Raw genomic sequence first — 20,762 nt, 5'->3', positions numbered from 1 at the left:
ATAGAAACATAATGATTTTTCTCGGTTAACCTTTTATCCTGTAACCTTGCTAAATTCACTTATTAGTTATAGTTGCTTTTTTGTAGATTCTTTGTGATTTTCTGCATAGACAATTATGTATTCTGCTAACAGAGACAGGTTTGTAGGCCGGGGGCAGTGGCTCACACCTGTAATCCCAGCACTTTGGGAGGCCGAGGCAGGCGGATCACTTGAGGCCAGGAGTTTGAGACCAGCCTGGCCAACATGGTGAAACCCCATCTCTACTAATACAAAAATTAGCTGGGCCTGGTGGTGCATGTCTGTAATCCCAGCTACTTGGGGGGCTGAGGCATAAGAATTGCTTGAACCCTGGAGGTGGAGGTTGCAGTGAGCCAAGATTATGCCACTGCACTCCAGACTGAGAGACAGCGAGACTCTATCTCAAATAAATAAATAAATATGCAAATAATCAACCCTCTTCTGTTGAAACTGATAAGATGCTGTGGTCACTGTAGCACTGGAACTTGAGAGTCACAGTTCATGCAGTAACAGACTATCAGGCAGTAACAGACTCTGTACTGTGAGTTTACTCTATATAGTTTATACCGCTCCTCTGCTCCCATAGACTAAGGACCAAGCAGATGAGAGACAAAGGCACTGAGACTCAGGAGGGGCAGGCAACTGGCCCAAAGCCCCAAAGCAAGGCAGTAGCAGAGCTGGGTAGAATGCTTGAGTCTCAGGCCTTCAGTACAAAGCCCCCAGTCAGCAGCTAATGGAGTCTGGTAGCATGACATTCCCTCTGCTGACCATGTAGACAGATCACGCTCAAGTTAGTGTCCTCCTTGCCAGCCCCAGTGTCTTGTGATTGAGGACTGTCAGAGCCAAGAGGGAACTTACCACCTCACTTTGAAGACAGGGAAACTGAGGCCCAAGGTTACCTAGCCAGTGGTGGCAGAGCCAGAAGCAGGACTCACAACACCTGTAGCCTCGTGCAAATTTAGAGCTTAAGCTCTGGAAATCACTAGGTTCAAATTCCAGTTCCATCACCTATTCTCTGTGCCTTAGGCCAGTGACTTAACCTCTTTGCACCTCAATTTTGCATTTATAAAGTGGATGTAACAATAGCACTCATCTCAAAGGGTTGTTGGGAAGAATACATTCGATAACATATATAAAGGTTTAGAACAGGACCTGGCATATAGCACATGTGCAACGAAGGTTACCTAGGATTATTATTTTTTTTCTTTTTGAGATGGAGTCTCAGTCTGTCGCCCGGGCTGGAGTGCAGTGGAGCGATCAGCCTCCCCAGTAGCTGGGACTGCATGTGCCCACCACCACGCCCAGCAGATTTTTTGCATTTTTTTAGTAGAGACAGGGTTTCACCATGTTAGCCAAGACAGTCTCGATCTCCTGACCTTGTGATCCACCTGCCTCGGCCTCCCAGTGTCCTGGGATTACAGGGGTGAGCCACCGTGGCTGGGGCCAGGATTATTTTTATTCTAATCATGTTGGGAGGCTGGGCACGCTGGCTCACCCCTATAATCCCAGCACTTTCAGAGGCCAAGGTGGGTGGATCACCTGAAGTCAGGAGTTCAAGACCAGCCTGGCCAACATGGGGAAACCCTGTTTATACTAAAAATACAAAAATTAGCTGGGTGGAGTGGCAGGCGCCTGTAATCCCAGCTACTCAGGAGGCTGAGGCAGGAGAATTACATGAACTCAAGAGGCGGGGTTGCAATGAGCCTGAGATTGCGCCACTGCACTCCAGCCTGGGTGACCGAGTGAGACTCTGTCTCAAAAAAAAAAAAAAAAGAAGATAAGTAAGTGAGTAAATAATCATGTTGGGAGGAAAAACTTTTCCTCTACCCACATAGGTTCAGTTCAGTGCTTCAGAGCCTGCAAATTAAACTGATAAACTAGTAATAGGCACAAAGACAACATTATTAGAATAATAATTATTAGAATAATTAGAATAATTAGAATAATTAGAATAATTATTATATAATTATTAGAATAATTAGAATAATTTTTATTCTAATTTTTTTATTCTAATAATTTCTAATCTGAAAGACAAAATTTATTCACATAGAAAAGAAGGAACTCACTGAAAATGTGACTCAAAAAGTGATTTAGAATTTGAGGCTGACGTAACATCTTAATAGGGGAAGGAAAAAAGAGAAAAGACACTTTTGGGAAGACAAGCGCCTTTTAGGAAAGGTAAATGGACCCTTAGGAGAAAAGATGGGAGATATGATAGTTTTGTGACAATGTTGGTTTAGTTGATCTCTTATCTTGGTGTGATTTCTCTTCTAGTCTCATAAAAGGAGCCCATCTTCCCTGACTGGGAAACTCTCAAACTCTGGGGAGGGGATTTATGACATTTGAATTCTTTTGGGAGGCTCAGCTTTTAGGCAGATAAAGGGAGTTCAGGAAAAGAAAAAAAAAGTTTCTTCCTGCATCTGTTGATTCTCAAATGTCACCCACTCAAAATAATCCTTATGCCACAGAGGTATATTTTGTATCCCTTCTATCATGACAGGGGAGAGGGCAGGGTAGGATAGAGGATGGCAGAGTAAGGCTGGAGGGCATCTGCCAGTTTTCTAGCCACTGTCCAGTCTGCCCTGCCTGGCCCAAGTTGGTGCCCTTGGAACTTCTGCTCCTTATCAGCATTTGCTCAGGGCTAACCTAAAGCTATTGCGTCCCTCTGCCCCTCCACCCAGTGCAATAAGGCGGCTGTAGGCTATCCCTGGAGAACCTCATTCATAGATGAATTGAGCTGAGATGGAGAGTTGTTATGGTTGGGCTGGGAAGCCCAGGATTGGAGGTCCGGCCCAGGCCATTCCTCTGACCAGAGAGGCTGACCACTTCCCCAGCCCTCCTCATGGAGTCAAGGTCTCCCCAGGCATGGAACTGGCTGGGTCCCCTTTTGCAGAGCTGTACAAGCCAGCAGCATACACATAGCACATTTGACTCTCACAGTGGAACATTCTTTAACCCTTCCCTCTACATGATTATACAGTAAGTATCATGAAATGAAACAAATATATTTCATAATTGCTATGATCTGAATATTGGTGTCCTCCCAAAATTCATATGTTGAAACCTAACCCCCAGGGTAATGGTGTTAGGAGGTGGGGGCTTTGGGAAGTGATGAGGTTGTGAGGGTCTGCTCTCATGAATGGGATTAGTACCCTTATAAAAGGGCTTGAGGGAGCCTGTTTGTCCCTTTTGGCTTTCCACCATGAGAGGACACAGCATTCGTGTCTTCTGCTGTGTGAGGATGCAATGAGAAGGCACCATCTTGGAAGCAGAGAGCAGGCTTCACCAGACACTGAATCTTCTGGTGCCTTGATCTTGGACTTCCCAGCCTCCAGATCTGTGAGCAATACATTTTTGTTGTTTATAAATTATCTACTCTAGGCCGGGAGCAGTGGCTCATGCCTATAATCCCAGCATTTTGGGAGGCCGAGGCAGGTGGATCACCTGAGGTCAGGAGTTCGAGACCAACCTGGCCAACATGGTGAAACCCCTCTCTACTAAAAATACAAAAAATTAGCCAGGCATGGTGGAGGGTGCCCGTAATCCCAGCTACTTGGGAGACTGAGGCAGGAGAATCATTTGAACCCAGGAGGCAGAGGTTGCAGTGAGCTAAGATTGGGCCATTGCACTCCAGCCTGGGCAACAAGAGCAAAACTCTGTCTCAAAAATAAATAAATAAATAATCTACTCTAAGATAATTTTTCCCCCTCTTTTTAGACAGGATCTCCCTCTGTTGCCCAGGCTGGAGTGCAGTGGTGTGATCATGGCTCGCTGCAGCCTCAACTTCCTGGGTTCAAGGGATTCTCCACCTTGGCCTCCCAAAGTACTGAGATTACAGGCGTGAGGCACCACACCCAGCCAGGTAATTTTCTTATAGCAGAAGGAACAGACTAAGACAATAATGAACTAAAATTTGCATTTATTAAATAAAAACATGGCCAGGGGCGGTGGCTCACGCTTGTAATCCCAGAATTTTGGGAGGCTGAGGCGAGTGGATCACTAGAGGTCAGGAGTTCAAGACCAGCCTGGCCAACATGGTGAAACACCATCTCTACCAAAAATACAAAAATTAACTAGGTGTAGTGGCGCACACCTGTAATCCCAGCTACTTGGGTGGCTGAGGCAGGAGAATCACTTGAACCTGGGAGGCGGAGGTTGCAGTGAGCCGAGATCGCACCACTGCACTCCAGCCTGGGCAACAGAGCGAGACTCTATCTCAAAAACAAAAACAAAAACATGACATCTCCTGGTTTCCGCTATTTGTTTTCAATTCCAAACACAGATAAAACCTCCAAGCTGTCATATAGAGTGGCAGAATTGAAGGAACTCATGTTCTGTGTCTTTGTCTTTACAATCAGTGTTCTACCACTGTTTATTTATAATCAACTGATTAAACATGGGGACATGTACCACAGGGCTTGGAAAATAGCAACTATAGCAAAGAAGGGAGGAAGGAGGAACTGGTTAGGAATTACAAATGAAATACAAATACAGGATTGCAGCTAAGTCTGCAATCTGTATAACAGGGAAATCATTCTCTGATTTGACTTTCACATAGCATACAATGTTTATTTAAAAATAAGCTGCTAATAAAGAATAAAGGTGTTACTTTGAAGCTCATTTTATAAATTATTAACATTCCACAGTAATCATGCAATCGTTTAGAACTTTGACCAATAAAATACTTTTTCAGAAAGAAGTATTGTATCACTGACATTGTTCAGAATTACCAGCACATGGTGAGAATAAAAGGCAGATAGATAGGCTTTATTCTATTCTATTAGGATAGAATCTGTCACCCTTGGGCCAGTGGCTGACGGCCACACGCATGATGTCAGTTCCCAGGGCTGAGACGGCCTCCTTCTTTCTGTGGCCTCCAAGACCTCCCCACCTCCAACCCTACTCCCAGCCCTGGCAGGATAACCTCCCAGACCTCAGTTCACATGAGACAGGCTCATAAAGATGGTTCAAATGGGGAAACTGAGGCTGAGAGAAGGAAGGCACATCTCCTGGGGGGGAGTTTAAGGCAGGTGTCTCCTTGGGGACTGTCCAGACCTGGCTTCCCTGGGCCATCAGGCAGGAGGGAGAGGGAGAAGGGACGCCCGAGGACTGGCTGGGGCACTGCAGGGGGGACTTGCATATTGCTGCCCCACACCCAGAGTGGGCAGACCTGTAGGGTCCTAGGGCTCAGAGATCCACTTCTGGCCCCAAACACCTCCCCTGGGCAGTGTCGCCAAACCCCACTTCCCTGTGAGCGCACCCCCACTGCCTGTGAAGCAGCCTGGCCCTGCCTGAGCCTGGCTGGGAAGCCACTCTCCCTGGGAGGGTCAGGCGAGAGGGGAAGGTCTATTGTCAGACATCAGCCACTTTACCCCAGCAGCAAGCCGCGGCCCTCAGAAGGGCCGCCTCACCCACCTGGGTCCAAAAGGCACTAGAGGTAGGCAGCGTCCAGCCCTGAAGAGTCTGAGGGAGACAGGGGTGTCCTAATCCAATGCTAGGCACAGTTGGCATCTGACCCCAGTCCTGCCTTCACCTGGCTGTGAGAAGGGGTTGAGTCAGGGGACCAGCCGAGATGGAAATGTGGCTGGAGGAAGAAGCTAAGGGCAAACTACTGATGCCCAGAGGCGGGTATTCCTGAAAGTGGGACGCGCAGGTGACCCCCAGGCTCCACTTCCCCATCCCCCACCCCCCAGCCATCTCAGACAGGCCAGCTGGGATTTGGGGACAGGATACATTTCCTGGTCATCCTTCCAGAGTAGGTAGGGTCCTATCCCTTTAGCTGGGGACCTTCCGGAAGCCCTGGCAGTCCTGATGATGGGCTACTCTCTACTTGCACTCCTCCAGTGACAAAGAACTCATTAGCTCCCCCAAAACACCTTATCACTGGCCCCTGGCTCTGCTGAGAGGAAGTCTGTAGTCCTTCTTCTTTTCATTTTTTATTTTTTGAGACAGGATCTTGCTCTGTCACTCAGGCTGCAGTGCAGTGGTGTAATCTCAGCTTACTGCAACCTCCACCTCCTGGGTTCAAGCACTTCTCGTACCTCAGCCTCCCAAGCAGCTGGGACTACAGGTGTGCGCCACCATACCCAGCTAATTTTTGTATTTTTTGTAGAGATGGGTTTTCACCATGTTGTCCAGGCTGGTCTCAAACTCCTGGGCTCAAGTGATCCAGCCGCCTTGGCCTCCCAAAGTGCTGGGATTACAGGGGTGAGCCACCATGGCTGGCCCTTCTTGTTTTTGTTTTTTTGTTTTTTGTTTTTTGAGACGGAGTCTCGCTCTGTTGCCCAGGCTGGAGTGCAGTGGCGCCATCTCGGCTCACTGCAAGCTCTGCCTCCTGGGTTCACGCCATTCTCCTGCCTCAGACTCCTGAGTAGCTGGGACTACAGGCGCCCACCACTATGCCCAGCTAATTTTTTTTGTATTTTTTTTTTTTTAGTAGAGACGGGGTTTCACCATGTTAGCCAGGATGGTCTTGATCTCCTGACCTCGTGATTCTCCCGCCTTGGCCTCCCAAAGTGCTGGGATTACAGGTGTGAGCCACCGCACCCGGCCTGGCCCTTCTTATTGAGCTGGAATCTGCCTCCCTGGAACCTTACCCCATTAGCTGACATAGCCCCAGACACTGTTCCAGGTGTGGGGTCAGTGGTGTGGTGTCTGCCCTAGCAATTCTGGCTCATGATCCAGTCCTTCCAGCTTCCCCAGGCCACTGCCTCTCAGTTCCACCTCCAAAATCTGTTTTTGTTTTTGTTTTTGTTTTAATGACCTAATACTCTCTGGGGGGCAGTGAGCTACCCATCACTGGAGGGATGCAAGCCAAGGCTGGAGGCCTGACCATTAGAGGTCTTCTAGGGGTTGGGTGGAAGCTGAGTCTCGATCCTCCTGGGGGTTTCCCGGCCCTGGGAAAGGTGGCAGGGGAGATGTGGGAGGCAAGGAGTTTGGGCTCACTCCACACCCTGGGAGGTGAGACTCAGAATCGCCAGCCAGCTATGTCGTCTTTGTTTTTTCCTTTCCCAAACAAAGGTGACCTCTTGAAAGCAATGCCCCGCCCACCAGGTGCCAGGGTGGGGTCTGTCCCATGAGCTCAGGCCTTCCAGACATGCAGAGAATGGAATGCAGAAGGCGCAGCCTAGACTAATTGGGGAGCACCCCCCATCCACACATTGTAGCTCTAGCTCAGTACCTCCCAAGACATAGGGGGATGCTCGCCCTACACTTGGTTTGCCCCCATCCTGCCCTCATGGGGCTACAGACCACCCCAACCCCACCCGAGTACCAGAAGAGGCCAATGAGCAGGGCCCCCCCTCCTGAGGACCATAAACAGTGACCCAGGCACAGAGGGAGTGTAGTGAATTCCTGTACTTTAATGTTGCCCTGGCATCCGTTTTGAATATAATCTGGACTTTCTTACATTAGAAGCAGGGCTCAGTCAACCTTGACACTGTTTCCAGCTCCCTGCTTCCTCCCAGTTCCTCTATGTGCTCAATCCAGATATCTACCTTAGACAGTCATCTCCCGGTGACTGCCTCCCTGTGGGACAGCTACATACAGCCCACTTGACTGGTCCCGCTGACCCCACAGCCCGCATGGACTGTTGCAGATAGGCCAGTGACCCTCTCTCAGCCATAGCGTGACCCTGCTTGCTCTAAACTCACCAATTATTTTATTTTATTTTATTTTATTTTATTTTATTTTATTTATTTATTTTTGAGATGGAGTCTCGCTCTGTCACCCAGGCTGGAGTGCAGTGGCGCAATCCTGGCTCACTGCAAGCTCCGCCTCCCGGGTTCAAGCCATTCTCCTGCCTCAGCCTCCTGAGTAGCTGGGACTACAGGTGCGCACCACCACGCCCAGCTAATTTTTGTATTTTTAGTAGAGACGGGGTTTCACAATGTTTTCCAGGATGGTCTCAATCTCTTGACCTCGTGATCCACCCGCCTCGGCCTCCCAAAGTACAGGCGTGAGCCACCGGCACCTGGCCTAAACCCAATTATTACTCCCCTCAGGAAACCTGCCTGGGTGACGCCCTGGACCCCATAAAGGCCTTGGTCCCACAGGTCCCCTCTCTCTCTCACTCTCTACCTGCTACTTGAACACCCTGCTGTCTCCGGGATTCCTGTTGGCCCTCATCGGCGCTGGCTTCTCTCATGGATCTGTGAGTAATGAAAGGCTCCTGTTATTCCATGTGTCTCACCTGACACACGCCCAACCCTAACTCCCCTCGCCCCTTAGAGAGCGGCTATCTCGGCTTATGGTACCTCTCCAAGGGACACCCCAAGACCCAATTAGACAAAGATCTCAACAGGGAGGCTCCTGGCTCAAGGTAAGTTTTGAAAGGATGCCCAAGGGCTCTGGCATGACCATGCTACCTGCAGAGAGGACCCAGGGCACAGGCCCCAGCCCCAGTGGCCGAGATAGGGGGAGGGTTGCCCCAGGGACCCCCCCAAGTACTGAGGCCTGGGCATGGAGATGTGGGAGACCCCTCTCAGATCCCTGCTCCTGACACACACAGGCAGGGTCCCTTACTGCCTTATCTTTCCTGGTGCTCACACCTGTCCCCTTCCACAGCTAATTTCCATCAGAGACCTGGGACCTAAGTCCCCTGTTTCAGCCTGGCATCTCCCAGAGCCATTCAGATCTCTCTTGGAGGTGCCCGGTGATCCCCAGGGCAGAGCTCGGTGGAGTCAAGGTCAGCTCAGAGTCCTGGGTTTCACATCTGTCTTTGGTCCCAATCAAAGGCCTGGTTTGCTTGGTTTCCCCTGCGGGCAGACCATTCTGTTCCTTCCACATGGTTTTCAGTTCCTTGAGGGTGGAGGTCCCCCATCCTTATACCGATCTCGCAGTCCCAGCCGCCCCAGGCTTCAGCACTTCTGGCTTCCTCTCCCAAAAGGGCTAAGGGCAGGAGATGGGGAGGACAGGCACCTGGCTGCCCAGGCCAGCCCAAGGACTCCGGACTACCAGCTTTTAGGGCATATTTTATAAGATTTCAGACTCTCGAGGCCAGAACACCCAGCAGGGTCAGGGCTGGCTGGGGGCATGGTGGGTAAAGCAAGGAGGCACCTAAGGGCCCACAATTTAAGGGGGCACTGGCCCTCAGGGCCATTCAGGTGCACCTGGGAGGGCAAGCCTCCTTAAAATTTTGCCCTAGGCACCTTGCTTGCCTCACTCTAGTCCCAGCCTGACCTCAGGAGAAGGATTGAGGAACCTAGTCCTCCCGCAGGCAGGAGGGGTAGAGCACCTTGGAACCAAACTCAGGAGTTTCTGGCTGGCTCCAAACAGAAGAGCCACAGGTAAGTGCAGGCAAATGCTACGCCAAGTCAGCCTCTTTGAGGTTTGCATGGGGATGACGGTGGGGGTGGAGAGGCCAAGGACAGAGCACCCCAGCCAGACTGCTGGGCATGGGAGGGGGCATGGGTGGGTACTGTACCCACTGCACAGAGAAGACTGGGTTCTGCCGGGGAGGGGAGGGGTGGAGACGGTGTTTGGGAAGGGGTGGGACGGGGCAGAGCCGGCAAAGGATCCGGAACCTTCACAGCAACCTCATTCTGTTTATTGCTCCAGCCACTCTCAGTGGCCCATCCCACCCTTCTTCCAGGCCAACCCGGGTCCCCTCTTCCAAAGCCCACAGGAGCTCTCTTCTGAAAGGATCTCCAGCCTTGGGTTTACCTCATCAGAGGCTTGGCCTGTGGGACACTGCGGGAGAGGATTGGGAGAAGAAAGAGGGGTGAGCCCTGTTGTCCTCTTCCATGCCCTGACCCAGCAGCATGGCTGGGGGAGGCGCTCTGGCCCTAAGCTTCACTTCCACCACGAAGCCTTCTCTGACTTACTCTCTGCATCCTCGTCCCCAACCCACCTCAGTACTTAGTACATGCCCCAGAAGATAGACCTGACCCTCTGCGGCCTTGGATCACCAGAGTTGTTTTCCTGGGCACACTTAGGCATCCTGCCTCTCCCATCAGACTACGTTACCCAGTCAGACGTGATGCCCTGGAATGTGCCCCCCATCCATCAGTGTCCCTCTCAGACTGCCACTTGGAGAGCAGGCTGTGTCTTCCCCTCAGTGTACCCCCCTTAGACTGAGCCCCTCCCCCTTGCCTGTGGGCCCCATGGAAGGCTTTGTGGAGAAACCCCCTCCACCCAGTCTCTTTAACCACAGCCTCCCTCCCTACTTCTCAGGAAACCACAGGAGAAAGAACAGGATGGGATTTTAGAGAAGTGGCCAGGAGGCCCTGAAACTGCTAGTGAAGTGGCTGTGGCCAGGGGGCCCAGGGACCTGCCCAGCCTTGGGATGGGGGTGTGTGGGGGGAGGGGGCAGTACCACAGACCCCCGTATGGGCCACTGGGACATGTAAGAGTTCAAGTCCTCCTTCTCCAGGATATATTTCAGAGACAATGAGGCTGAATTCAGTACTTGCAGTACCGAAAAAAAAAAATCTAACTTTACTTACAAAAACCCCAGATCCAAAGCAACCCTAGAGCTGATATTATATAGGGTATGGAAAGCATGGCATTCAGCAATTCGCTGATTTTCAAAAGTTGGACTGTGTGCAGATTGGCTGACTTTCAGTCTTGGCAGTTAGGGATTGGCTGACTTTCAGAAGCAAATCACTGGAGTAAGACCCTTGCTGATTGGCTGGCTCTCAGAAGCATGGTCCCTGGAATGAAGCTGTTGCTGATTGGTTGGCTCTCAGGGGACTGAAGTAACGTGATCAATGACTGATTGGACCAGGTTGAAAATAAGTCTGTGTGACTTGTTCCTGGCTTCAGACTAGTTCTCAAAACAGTCCCCCACCCCCCGCCTTTTTACTTGCTTTTAAAAGACAGAGTCTGGCTCTGTCACCCAGGCTGGAGTGCAGTGGCACGATCATGGCTCACTGCAGCCTCAAACTCCTGGGCTCAAGCAGTCCTCCCAACTCGGCCTCCTGAGTATAGTAGCTGGGACTGCAGGCATGTGCCACCACACCCTGCTAATTTATGTATTTTTGGTAGAGACAGGGTCTTGCTATGTTGCCCAGGCTGGTCTTGAACTCCTGTCCTCAAGCAATCCTCCAACCTTGGCCACCTCCCAAAAGGCTGGGACTACAGACTTGAGCCACTGAGCCTGGCCGCTCCCTTCCCTGCCCTTTTGTGAATTTAGAGAATAGAAACATTTTGTTTTCACCTCCCCCACATTCCTGGCTTTCCCTTTTCTGACCAGCCAAGCACTGATCATCTGTACCCACACTCCAGAATTGTCCAGAAGTCAGTTTGCCCAGGCCTGGTCATTCCATCCTTCAAAAACTCTTTCATGGAGACTGCAGCTCTAGAAAGCAGACCTGTGCCCTTCCTTTCTGGTGCTTGGCACACCCTCCTCATCCCCTGTTTGAATGGATGAATGAGTGAGTGAATGAATGAATGAATGGCTGTAAGGAGGTTACATGGTAGATTTGGCAGAACTAGTATAAGCCATATCCTCCCTTCCTTTTCTGACCCCTGTAAAATCCAGCCTCAGCATTCCCCACTGAACCCCCCAACCTCTGCCCCCCCACACACATAAGAATGTGGACTGCCCACAGCTCACCAGTTCCTCTGGAACCAGTTTGAACCCCCTGTGACCCAGCAGGGCCCCCACTCCCCCTTGAGTGTTAAGATTTTTGGATTAGTTGGCTTGAACTGTTCTAGAAAACAACAGAGTACCTTTGAGAAAAACAAAATGCATTAATTTGGGCCCTAGGTCAGAAAAACAAATTTATATTTGGCTTTGATCTGGGTTGATTTTAGCCTTTGGCTATCGATCAGGAGAGTGAGAGGGTAGCAAGGGTTGTCTTTGCCCTAAAGTAAGAGACATGGGTTTAAACCCTGCTCTGGCCAGAATCATGTAGGGAACTGGACCAGGCCTTCCTATTTCTGTTCATTTCAGCACACATTTAATGAGTACTTACTGTGTGTTAAGTATGGTGTTGTACAGATAGACTGCCCCAGCCCTCAAGGAGCTCAGTCTAGAGGGTAGAGAGATAAGTGAGTAAAGGCTTACAGTTTAGAGGGATCAGGGCTGTTAGGGAGGGGAGTGAGCAGGGGGGCTGTGTGAGCCCAGGAGAGGCACCAGATTCAACTTAGATTGAGAGGTGACATCAGAAAGATATTATGGGCCAACTCTGGGCACACTGCCTATGAATTCACCCTGCTTTGCAAGGAATAGTATGGTTAATAAAATTCTTTAAAAAAGAAAAAGATGTTATGGAAGTATGTTACATTATTTGTATGGCCCAGTGTAAAACGAAAGTGCAAGGCTTCTTATTCAGATTTCAAGATGTCAGCAGCAGAGGATTAAACTAAGCACAGGGCCCTACTGAGCACAGGGCTCTGTGTGACCTCACAGCTCTCATCCCATGAAGCCAGCCCTGCTGGAAGGAGGAGATGCCTGACCTGAGTGTGAATGATGAGTGTGAGTGTGAGTGTGCCACGGGAAGCACGGTGAGCAAACAGCCTGATGCGTGTGAGGACCAGGCAGCCCTGTGAGATTCCAAGAACCTCCTTTCCTCAGATCTGGGTCTTAATATCTGCCCAGTGGCCAGTGTAGCCCAGGCTTTGGGAATCATGCGAGGTTGCCAGCTGTCCTTTTTTGGGAGAGGGTGGGGCTGGGAGTAGAGAACACAATCTTTTTTTTTTTTTTTTTTTGAGACAGAGCCTCCCTCTGTCACCCAGGCTGGAGTGCAATGACACAATCTCAGCTCACTTCAACCTCCACCTCCTGGGTTCAAGTGATTCTCCTGCCTCAGCCTCCAGGGTAGCTGGGACTATTGATGTGTACCACTACACCCAGCTGATTTTTGTACTTTTAGTAGAGATGGGGTTTCACCATGTTGGCCAGGCTGGTCTTGAACTCCTGACCTCAAGTGATCCACCTGCCTCAGCCTCCCAAAGTGCTGGGATTACAGAAGTGAGCCACTGCACCCATCTTTAAACCATAATTTCTAATCTTGTAGCTAATTGTTAGTCCTGCAAAGGCAGACTGGTCCCCAGGCAAGAAGGGGGTCTTTTCGGGAAAGGGCTGTTACCAATTTTGTTTCAGAGTCAAGCCATGAACTGAATTCCTTCCCAAAGTTAGTTCAGCCTATACTCAGGAATGAACCAGGACAGCTTAAAGGTTAGAAGCAAGATAGAGTCAGTTAGGTCTGATCTCTTTTGCTGTCATAATTTCCTCAGTTATAATTTTTGCAAAGGCAGTTTCAATCCCCCCCTTTTGGTTTCATAGTATCTTATTCTTAAGGTGTGGGCTATGAAGATGGGAAAAGGTTGTCAATCGCTCTGGATTCTTCCTGCTGACAGGGGGCATGGAACGGGTAGGTGTTGACCCCAAGGTGAGAGGAATGGAACTGCTTTGCAGCTGTCTGAGCTGTCTGAGCATACTCCCACATACTCAGCATACTGAGCTGGGGTTCTGGGGCTTTCATGACAAAGGTGTTACTATTCTCATTGTAACCTCTCAATGGGTTCACCTTGCCCACTGCCTAGACAGAGCTGATTTGTCAAAACAGGGGAATTGCAATAGAGAAAGAGTAATTCACACAGAGTGAGCTGTGTAGGAGACTGAAGTTTTATTACTTAAATCAGTCTCCCAGAGCATTCCAGGATCAGAGTTTTTAAGGACAACTTGGTGGGTGGGGAGAAGCCAATGAGCCAGCACTGGGGTGCTGATTGGTCAGGTCAGAGACAGTTGTTGCACTGAGTCAGTTCCTGGGTGGGGACCACAAGATCAGATGAGCCAGTTTATGGATGTGGGTGGTGCCAGCTGATCATCAAGTCCTAGGTCTGTAAAATATCTCAAGCACCGATCTTAGGAGCAGTTTAGGGAGGGTCAGAATCTTATAGCCTCCAGCAGCATGACTCCTAAACCATAATTTCTAATCTTGTGGCTAATTTGTTAGTCCTACAAAGGCAGTCTGGTCCCCAGGCAAGAAAGGGATTTCCCTTTGGAAAAGTCTGTCATCATCTTTGTTTTAAACTATAAACTATAAACCAAATTCTTCCCAAAGTCAGTTCAGCCTACGCCCATGAATGAATAAGGACAGCTTGGAGGTTAGAAGCAAGATGGACTTGGTTAGCTCAGATCTCTTTCACTGTCTCAGTTATAATTTTGCCATGGTGGCTTCATCATCTATAGTTTCAGTACAGCATTTAAATTGACAGTGTACTATAAGGCAAATAATGAGTTCTAGGATAAGGAGTGCAATTCCCCGTTTTAGAAGTAAAGATTTGAAAGCATTAGTTTGGGGACTTGTAGTCCAAAAAACATTCAGGATTTAGTCTAAATTGAAGAAAAATACAAATAAAAACTCAAAAACAACTAACAATAAGTATACTGTAGTTTTTGGAACATAATTTTTCTCTCTGCAGTCCTTATTTTTATTAAAAACAAATTATAATAGGACTGATTTGTTTGGAAAATAAACTTTAGTTGTATTATACTTGGTCTGATTATTTGCATAAGGCACAGCAAGAATAATTATTTTTCACATCAGGCTTTTTTTTTTTTTTTTTTTGAGACAGAGTCTCACACTGTCTCCCAGGCTGGAGTGCAATGGTGCGGTCTCGGCTCACTGCAACCTCTGCCTCCCAGGTTCAAGTGATTCTCCTTGCCTAGGCCTCCCAAGTAGCTGGGATTACAGGTGCCCACCACCATGCCCAGCTAATTTTTTTGTATTTTTAATAGAGACGGGGTTTCACCATGTTGGCCAGGCTGGTCTCAAACTCCTGACCTCGTGATCCACCCACCTCGGCCTCCCAAAGTGCTGGGATTAGGATTACAGGCATGAGCCACTGTGCCTGGCCTCACATAGGCTTTTAAAATTGGCTTTGCAGGCGTGGTGGCAGGAACCTGGAATCCCAGCTACTCAGGAGGCTAAAGCAGGAGAATCGTTTGAACCTGGGAGGTAGAGGTTGCAGTGACCTGAGATTGTGCCATTGCACTCCAGCCTGGGTGACAAGCGCAAAACTCCACCTCAAAATAATTAATAAATAAAAATAAATTTTAAAAAATTGGCTTTGAAGGAACTGTGTTCCAAAAGAATCTCAGATAAGACTTTTTTAAAGCTGAGACCAGCCATGGGTTTGTACCCTCAAATGCCTATGAGTTGGGTAAATTCCTCTCCTCTTGAGGTCCCAAGATAACTCGGGGCTCCTGGGACTCTCAGAAAGTGACATTCTTTACTTATCACAAATCAGGAACCCTGTACAGGGACTGTGTAGACAAGGTATGAGGCCAGTTTTCCCAAGGGGATTTTATTGGCTCTATAAGTCAAGTTTAATTCCTTAAAGGAAAGCACGTCATTCCAGTCAAAGTTTTGGTAAAATAACCAGTTTCTCCAACTGTGTCCTGTTGCAAAAGAAAACATTCTTATTGTACTTATGCAAATAACTATATTGCCATTAAGTTAAGAATACTCACAAATAGTTTCCAAAATCTGGAGAAATCGGGTAAAGAGAAACAAATATGCTTCAAATTTTGTTCACAGGAATATACTTTACTCAATTGTTAAAAGCTGAAAATAGCTCAAAAGAAAAGTTTTCTTAACTCTGAGAAACAAAAAGGATCAGCAATCTTTTAAGCAAAAAAAAAAAAAATTGCTTTAATTTTCTATTGGTTGAGTCTATTCAGTTAACTCCTGTTCTGCTTGATATTCATGAACATTTCAGCTCTCCATGAGAGTCCTGAAAGTTTTTTTCTTTATTGTAATGTAATAATCTCTATAGTGACTGGGCACAGTGGGTAATGCCTGTAATCCCTGCACTTTAGGAGGCCAAGGCGGATGGATCACCTGAGGTCAGGAGTTCGAGACCAGCCTGGCCAACATGTTGAAACCCCATTTCTACTAAAAATACAAAAAATTAGCCAGACATGGTGGTGGGCGCCTGTAATCTCAAGCTACTCAGGAGGTTAAGGCAGGAGAATCCCTTGAACTCAGGAGGCGGAGGTTGCAGTGAGCCAAAATCGCGCCACTGCACTCCAGCCAGGGCAAAAAGAGCAAAACTCCGTCTCAAATAATAATAATAATAATAATAATAATCTCCATAGTTATCAGAAACTTTCATTCAAGAGCACCTGTCAACATTTAATAGCTGATTATAAAACCACTTTCTAAAGAGGACCAAGGAAAGACAGCAATTGACTGTGGATGACAAAAGCATTTAGGGAAGCCACAGTCAAAGACACAGTTGACAAGGAAATTTGTTACCTCTGTGGCACACAATAATTCAACACAACAATTATAATTATTAATAACATATACTGTAGCATATCAGAATTACAGGAACCCTATACAATTTTGCAACACATACTAAAAACAAATTTATATAAATATAACCCAAAGAAAGTTAAACACCATTTTATATTTGACAATGTTTCCTGCATGGTATTAATACATTAAATAAGCTGAATATGTCTTTTTGGACTTCAGGGCACCTAATTTTTTTCTCTTTTTAACTTAGAGCTTGATTTTGAAAGGTTTGTTAAATATCAAAGGCTTAAAACATTGGATATTACAAAATAGAATCCTAGGTTACCATAAGTCATTCATTTAACCAAAATAATAACTCAAAAATTTTTTAGCCTGGGTACTGTGGCTCACCCTGTAATCCCAGCACTTTGGAAGGCCAAGGTGGGTAGATCTCTTGAGATCAGGAATTCAAGACCAGCCTGGCCAACATGCCAAAACCCTGTCTCTACTAATACAAAAATTAGCTGGGCATGGTGGCATGGGCCTGTAATCCCAGATACTAGGGAGGCTAAGGCAGGGGAATCTCTTGAACCCAGGAGGCAGAGGTTGTAGTGAGCCAAGATTGTGCCACTGCACTCCAGCCTGGGTGACAGAGCAAGACTTCATCTCAAAAAAAGTTTCTTTTTTGTTTTTTTGGTTTTTTTAAGGAAAAATCTTTATTCTGATAGAGAGGAGATTCAGCTTTATAAACAATACCCAATGAAGACATGAGGCCAACTGACTCTGTCTCTTCTCTCTCCCCTCCCACCAGTGCTTTTTGTAGTTCACTTAAAAGACAAACAAAAATCTTTCATTGTCTCTTAATGTTACATAAAAATCTTTTTCAAACAAAAAAAAAAACTAAATTTCATGTATGCATTAGTGCATCTTTAATGCTAAAGCTAGTTTTTAATAAAATTCTATAAGTGTATCCAGTTTTAATTAGCTTGACCATAAGGTAAGATTCTTTTTTTTTTTTTTTTTTTTTTGAGACAGAGTCTCACTCTGTCACCCAGGCTGGAGTGCAGTGGCGTGATCTTGGCTCACTGCAAGCTCTGCCTCCCAGGTTCACACCATTCTCCTGCCTCAGCCTCCCGAGTAGCTGGGACTACAGGCACCCGTTACCATGCCTGGCTAATTTATTTTGTATTTTTTAGTAGAGACGGGGTTTCACCATGTTCGCCAGGATGGACTCGATTTCCTGACCTCGTGATCCACCCACCTCGGCCTCCCAAAGTGATGGGATTGCAGGCGTGAGCCACCGTGCCCAGCCAAGGTAAGATTCTTATAAACCTTTTATAACCCTTTACAATTTTTTTTAGAACAGAACAATGTTCTTAAAAAATTCTGCTGTGCTTTTTTTTTTTTTTTTTTTTTTGAGATGGAGTCTGGCTCTGTTGCCTGGCCTGGAGTGTAGTGGCACGATCTCAGCTCACTGCAACCTCCGCCTCCAGGGTTCAAGCGATTCTCCTGCCTCAGCCTCCCGAATAGCTGGAATTACAGGCTCCTGCCACTACACCCAGCTAATTTTTTGTATTTTTAGTAGAGATGGGGTTTCACCATGTTGGCCATGCTGGTCTTGAACTGCTGACCTCATGATTTGCCTGCCTCAGCCTCCCAAAGTGCTGGGATTACAGGCATGAGCCACGGTGCCTGGCCTCTGCTTTTGATGGCAGCAGGGGGCCGTCTAAAGTGGCTGCTGCCATCACACTGGCTGCAGTAGGGAGGCATGGGCGGTGGTGGCAGGAGCAGCTGTGGGAGCAGCAGTGGCAGTAGTGGGACTCCTGTGCCCCATGTCCCCTGTGCCCTGCATCCCTGAGGCAGTCAGCTGCACCACCCCCATCCTCTCATGGCTGGGCAGAACCTGCTCCCAGACCCAGAGTCTCCACCGTGGTCACAATCTTGCACGCCTGGCCAAGGGCACAGTTGGGGACTCTTGGGGCCAGCCCCAAGAGCATTTGGTTTGTTTGTGTGGGGTTGACTGGGGCTACAGCACCACCTGCACCTTGCCCATGACTGCTGCAGGGAAAATGCAGACAGGAGGCAGGCAGGCACTCCCTGGAGCCTGTCCCTGGGAGCCCCCTAGAGTCCACTGCCCTGGGAGCCACTGTGATGAGGCTGGGCTGAGTCACCCACTGACGGGGGAGCAGTGTAATTGAGCATGGAGGGGTGGGCAGAAAGGGGCCCTGATATGGAGCTGGGCCCAGGCCAGTGCCACACTCCAAGGAGCCAGTGAGAGCCAGGAGCAGACAGGGGCCTGGCATTCCTGGGCGTGGCTGTGGCCACCCAAGTCACAGCTGTGGACCCAGGCCTCCCTGTGCTTTTGGGGGCTGGGAGCAGGTAGAAGCCCCACCCTCCCAAGGAGCAGCTGCAGCCACTCAGCTGCAGCTGTGGACCCAGGCCTCTCTGCACTTTTGGAGCCCTAGGAAGGCCACCCCCTTCCCCCTGCAGGCTCTGAGGTGTCTTATCTCACTGCCTGATCTCTGTCAACTCCTGGCAACTGCTCCGATCTCAGAGCAAGGTTGGGGCCAAGCCTGGGCACTGTCGCAACCCAGCCATGTGTGTGTACACTCAGGGCAGTGTTAACACGCCAGCCCCCTGCCACCTTAGCCCCCTCCTGACTTTGGGCACCAGCAAGCACCAGAGGGAGGCCAAGGGGGTGCTGAGGGCAGCTTGGCACTGGCCTCCAGGTGCCCTTTGGTATGAACAGCCTGGACATCATGAACAGAGGCAGGAGACAGGCTCCTGGGCAGAAAGGAAAAGTTCCCCAGTGAAGCCTCACCTTGAAGCTGGCGAGGGCCTGTAGCTGGGGACTACACTGCTGGTCCCACAAACCAGAGTGGGAACTTGTGATGCTTTTTCTGGGGCTGCACATGGTTTCCCATGGACCAACTGACATGCGCTTCCTCCCCTCTGAGGCCCATAAAAGCCCTGGACTCAGCCAGACTTGAGAAGATGATGGGACAACCAGCTGCAGAGAGGAGCTACCCTCTCTGCTGAGAGCTGAAGAGACAACATGATGACCAGCTGCAGAGAGGAGCTACCGTCTCTCCTGAGAGCTGAACACTCATTGGGACACCCTGGCTACAGAAAGGAGCTACCTATTTCAGGTCTCCTCTAAGCTGTTCTGTCACTCAATAAAGCTTCTCTTCATCTTGCTCACCCTTCGCTTGTCTGCATACCTCATTCTTCCTGGATGCAGGACAAGAACTTGGGACCTGCCAAATGACAGGGCTAAAAGAGCTACAACACAAACAGGGCTGAAACATGCCCCTTGCTCACCATGTTGTACATGACAAGAAGGAGAGAAGAGAGAAGGAGAGAAGAGCTACAGCCCTTCAGGGAGCCTAGACCTAGGAGCTCCCCAAACCAGGGCCGTGACACCCTTTAGGGCTCTGTGGTTCCTGGCATCTCCAAGCTTCTGGGCACCATAACATTCCCCAGCATCAACTGTGGTAGCTACTTATGGTATGCCTGGTCCAGCTGCAGCCTTGCAGGAAGCCATTGCCCATGCCAGCACCTGGAGCTGCTCACCCTGCTGCAGCCAGAGTGCCTGGCTGTGCACAGTGGTTGGAGCCCATGCTCGCTCACATACCCCTCACTACACTACGCCTGGCTCACCCCTGGCAGGTGTGGGATCCAGGCCGGTAGCGTGAGCCAAGAGCAGCCTGCCAGTGTGAGTGGGCAGAATGAGCCCAGCAGGCCAGAGAAAAACTCGGGCAAAGGTGCCACTGGCCACAGAGGTTTCCAGCTGGCAAAGTGACACCCCAAGGATCCTGTAACATTTTGGGGGCTCATCCAGGATCTGTGGAAGGGTGAATAAAAGTGGATCTTTTCTTTCTTACTTTTTTCTTTTTTTTTTTGAGATGGAGTCTCACTCTGTCACCCAAGCTGGAGTGCAGTGGTGTGATCTTGGCTCACTGCAGCCTCCATCTTCCAGGTTCAAGTGATTGTCCTGCCTCAGCCTCCCAAGTAGCTGGAATTACAGGCATGTGCCATAACACCTAGAATAATTTTTGTATTTTTAGTAGAGGTGGGGTTTCACCATGTTGGCCAGGCTGGTCTCGAACTTCAGACCTCAAGTGATTTGCCTGCCTTGACCTCCCAAAGTGCTGGGATTACAGGCATGAGCTGCTGTGCCTGGCTGGATCTGCTCATTCTGTCCTTTTTTCAGACTCCACAGTAGCCAAAATGAAAGAAAAAATACCAGGCCTCTGTCAGCCAATTAAAAGCAACTAGCACAGCTGCCAGACTTAAGAAATGGAGGACAGGCTTGCTGGGGAGGACAATGTCAATCCCCCATCACCTTCGGGTGTTGGGAATGTTGGCTTTGTTCCAATCTAGTTTCCCTTCATGGAGGTCTAGCCATCGCATGGGACCAGAAGGAGGTCCTGGGGCAACTGAGGGTATCTCACCAAGGCCACATCTTGGTGTTATCCAAAGGCTCCTTGACTAACTCCAGGCCCCAACTGCCCATAAGGGTGTCGGCCCTAGGACCTCCAGTCTTTCCTA

The 20,762-nt window shown here is 48.9% G+C and overlaps 4 annotated features.

Moving 5' to 3' along the window:
* Positions 4,763-5,263: an enhancer, noted in NCBI's record as "H3K4me1 hESC enhancer chr15:75451043-75451543 (GRCh37/hg19 assembly coordinates)". NCBI's record gives its function as "activates a minimal SCP1, AML or CMV promoter by ChIP-STARR-seq in naive and primed H9 embryonic stem cells {active_cell/tissue: H9 hESC(naive and primed)}" and the evidence as "EXISTENCE:reporter gene assay evidence [ECO:0000049][PMID:30033119]".
* Positions 5,264-5,764: an enhancer, noted in NCBI's record as "H3K4me1 hESC enhancer chr15:75450542-75451042 (GRCh37/hg19 assembly coordinates)". NCBI's record gives its function as "activates a minimal SCP1, AML or CMV promoter by ChIP-STARR-seq in naive H9 embryonic stem cells {active_cell/tissue: H9 hESC(naive)}" and the evidence as "EXISTENCE:reporter gene assay evidence [ECO:0000049][PMID:30033119]".
* Positions 6,470-6,969: an enhancer, noted in NCBI's record as "H3K4me1 hESC enhancer chr15:75449337-75449836 (GRCh37/hg19 assembly coordinates)". NCBI's record gives its function as "activates a minimal SCP1, AML or CMV promoter by ChIP-STARR-seq in primed H9 embryonic stem cells {active_cell/tissue: H9 hESC(primed)}" and the evidence as "EXISTENCE:reporter gene assay evidence [ECO:0000049][PMID:30033119]".
* Positions 6,970-7,471: an enhancer, noted in NCBI's record as "H3K4me1 hESC enhancer chr15:75448835-75449336 (GRCh37/hg19 assembly coordinates)". NCBI's record gives its function as "activates a minimal SCP1, AML or CMV promoter by ChIP-STARR-seq in primed H9 embryonic stem cells {active_cell/tissue: H9 hESC(primed)}" and the evidence as "EXISTENCE:reporter gene assay evidence [ECO:0000049][PMID:30033119]".

Source organism: Homo sapiens, chromosome 15 (assembly GCF_000001405.40).
Source record: "Homo sapiens chromosome 15, GRCh38.p14 Primary Assembly".
Lineage (NCBI taxonomy): Eukaryota > Metazoa > Chordata > Mammalia > Primates > Hominidae > Homo > Homo sapiens.
This window is presented reverse-complemented; position numbering and strand designations above follow the sequence as displayed.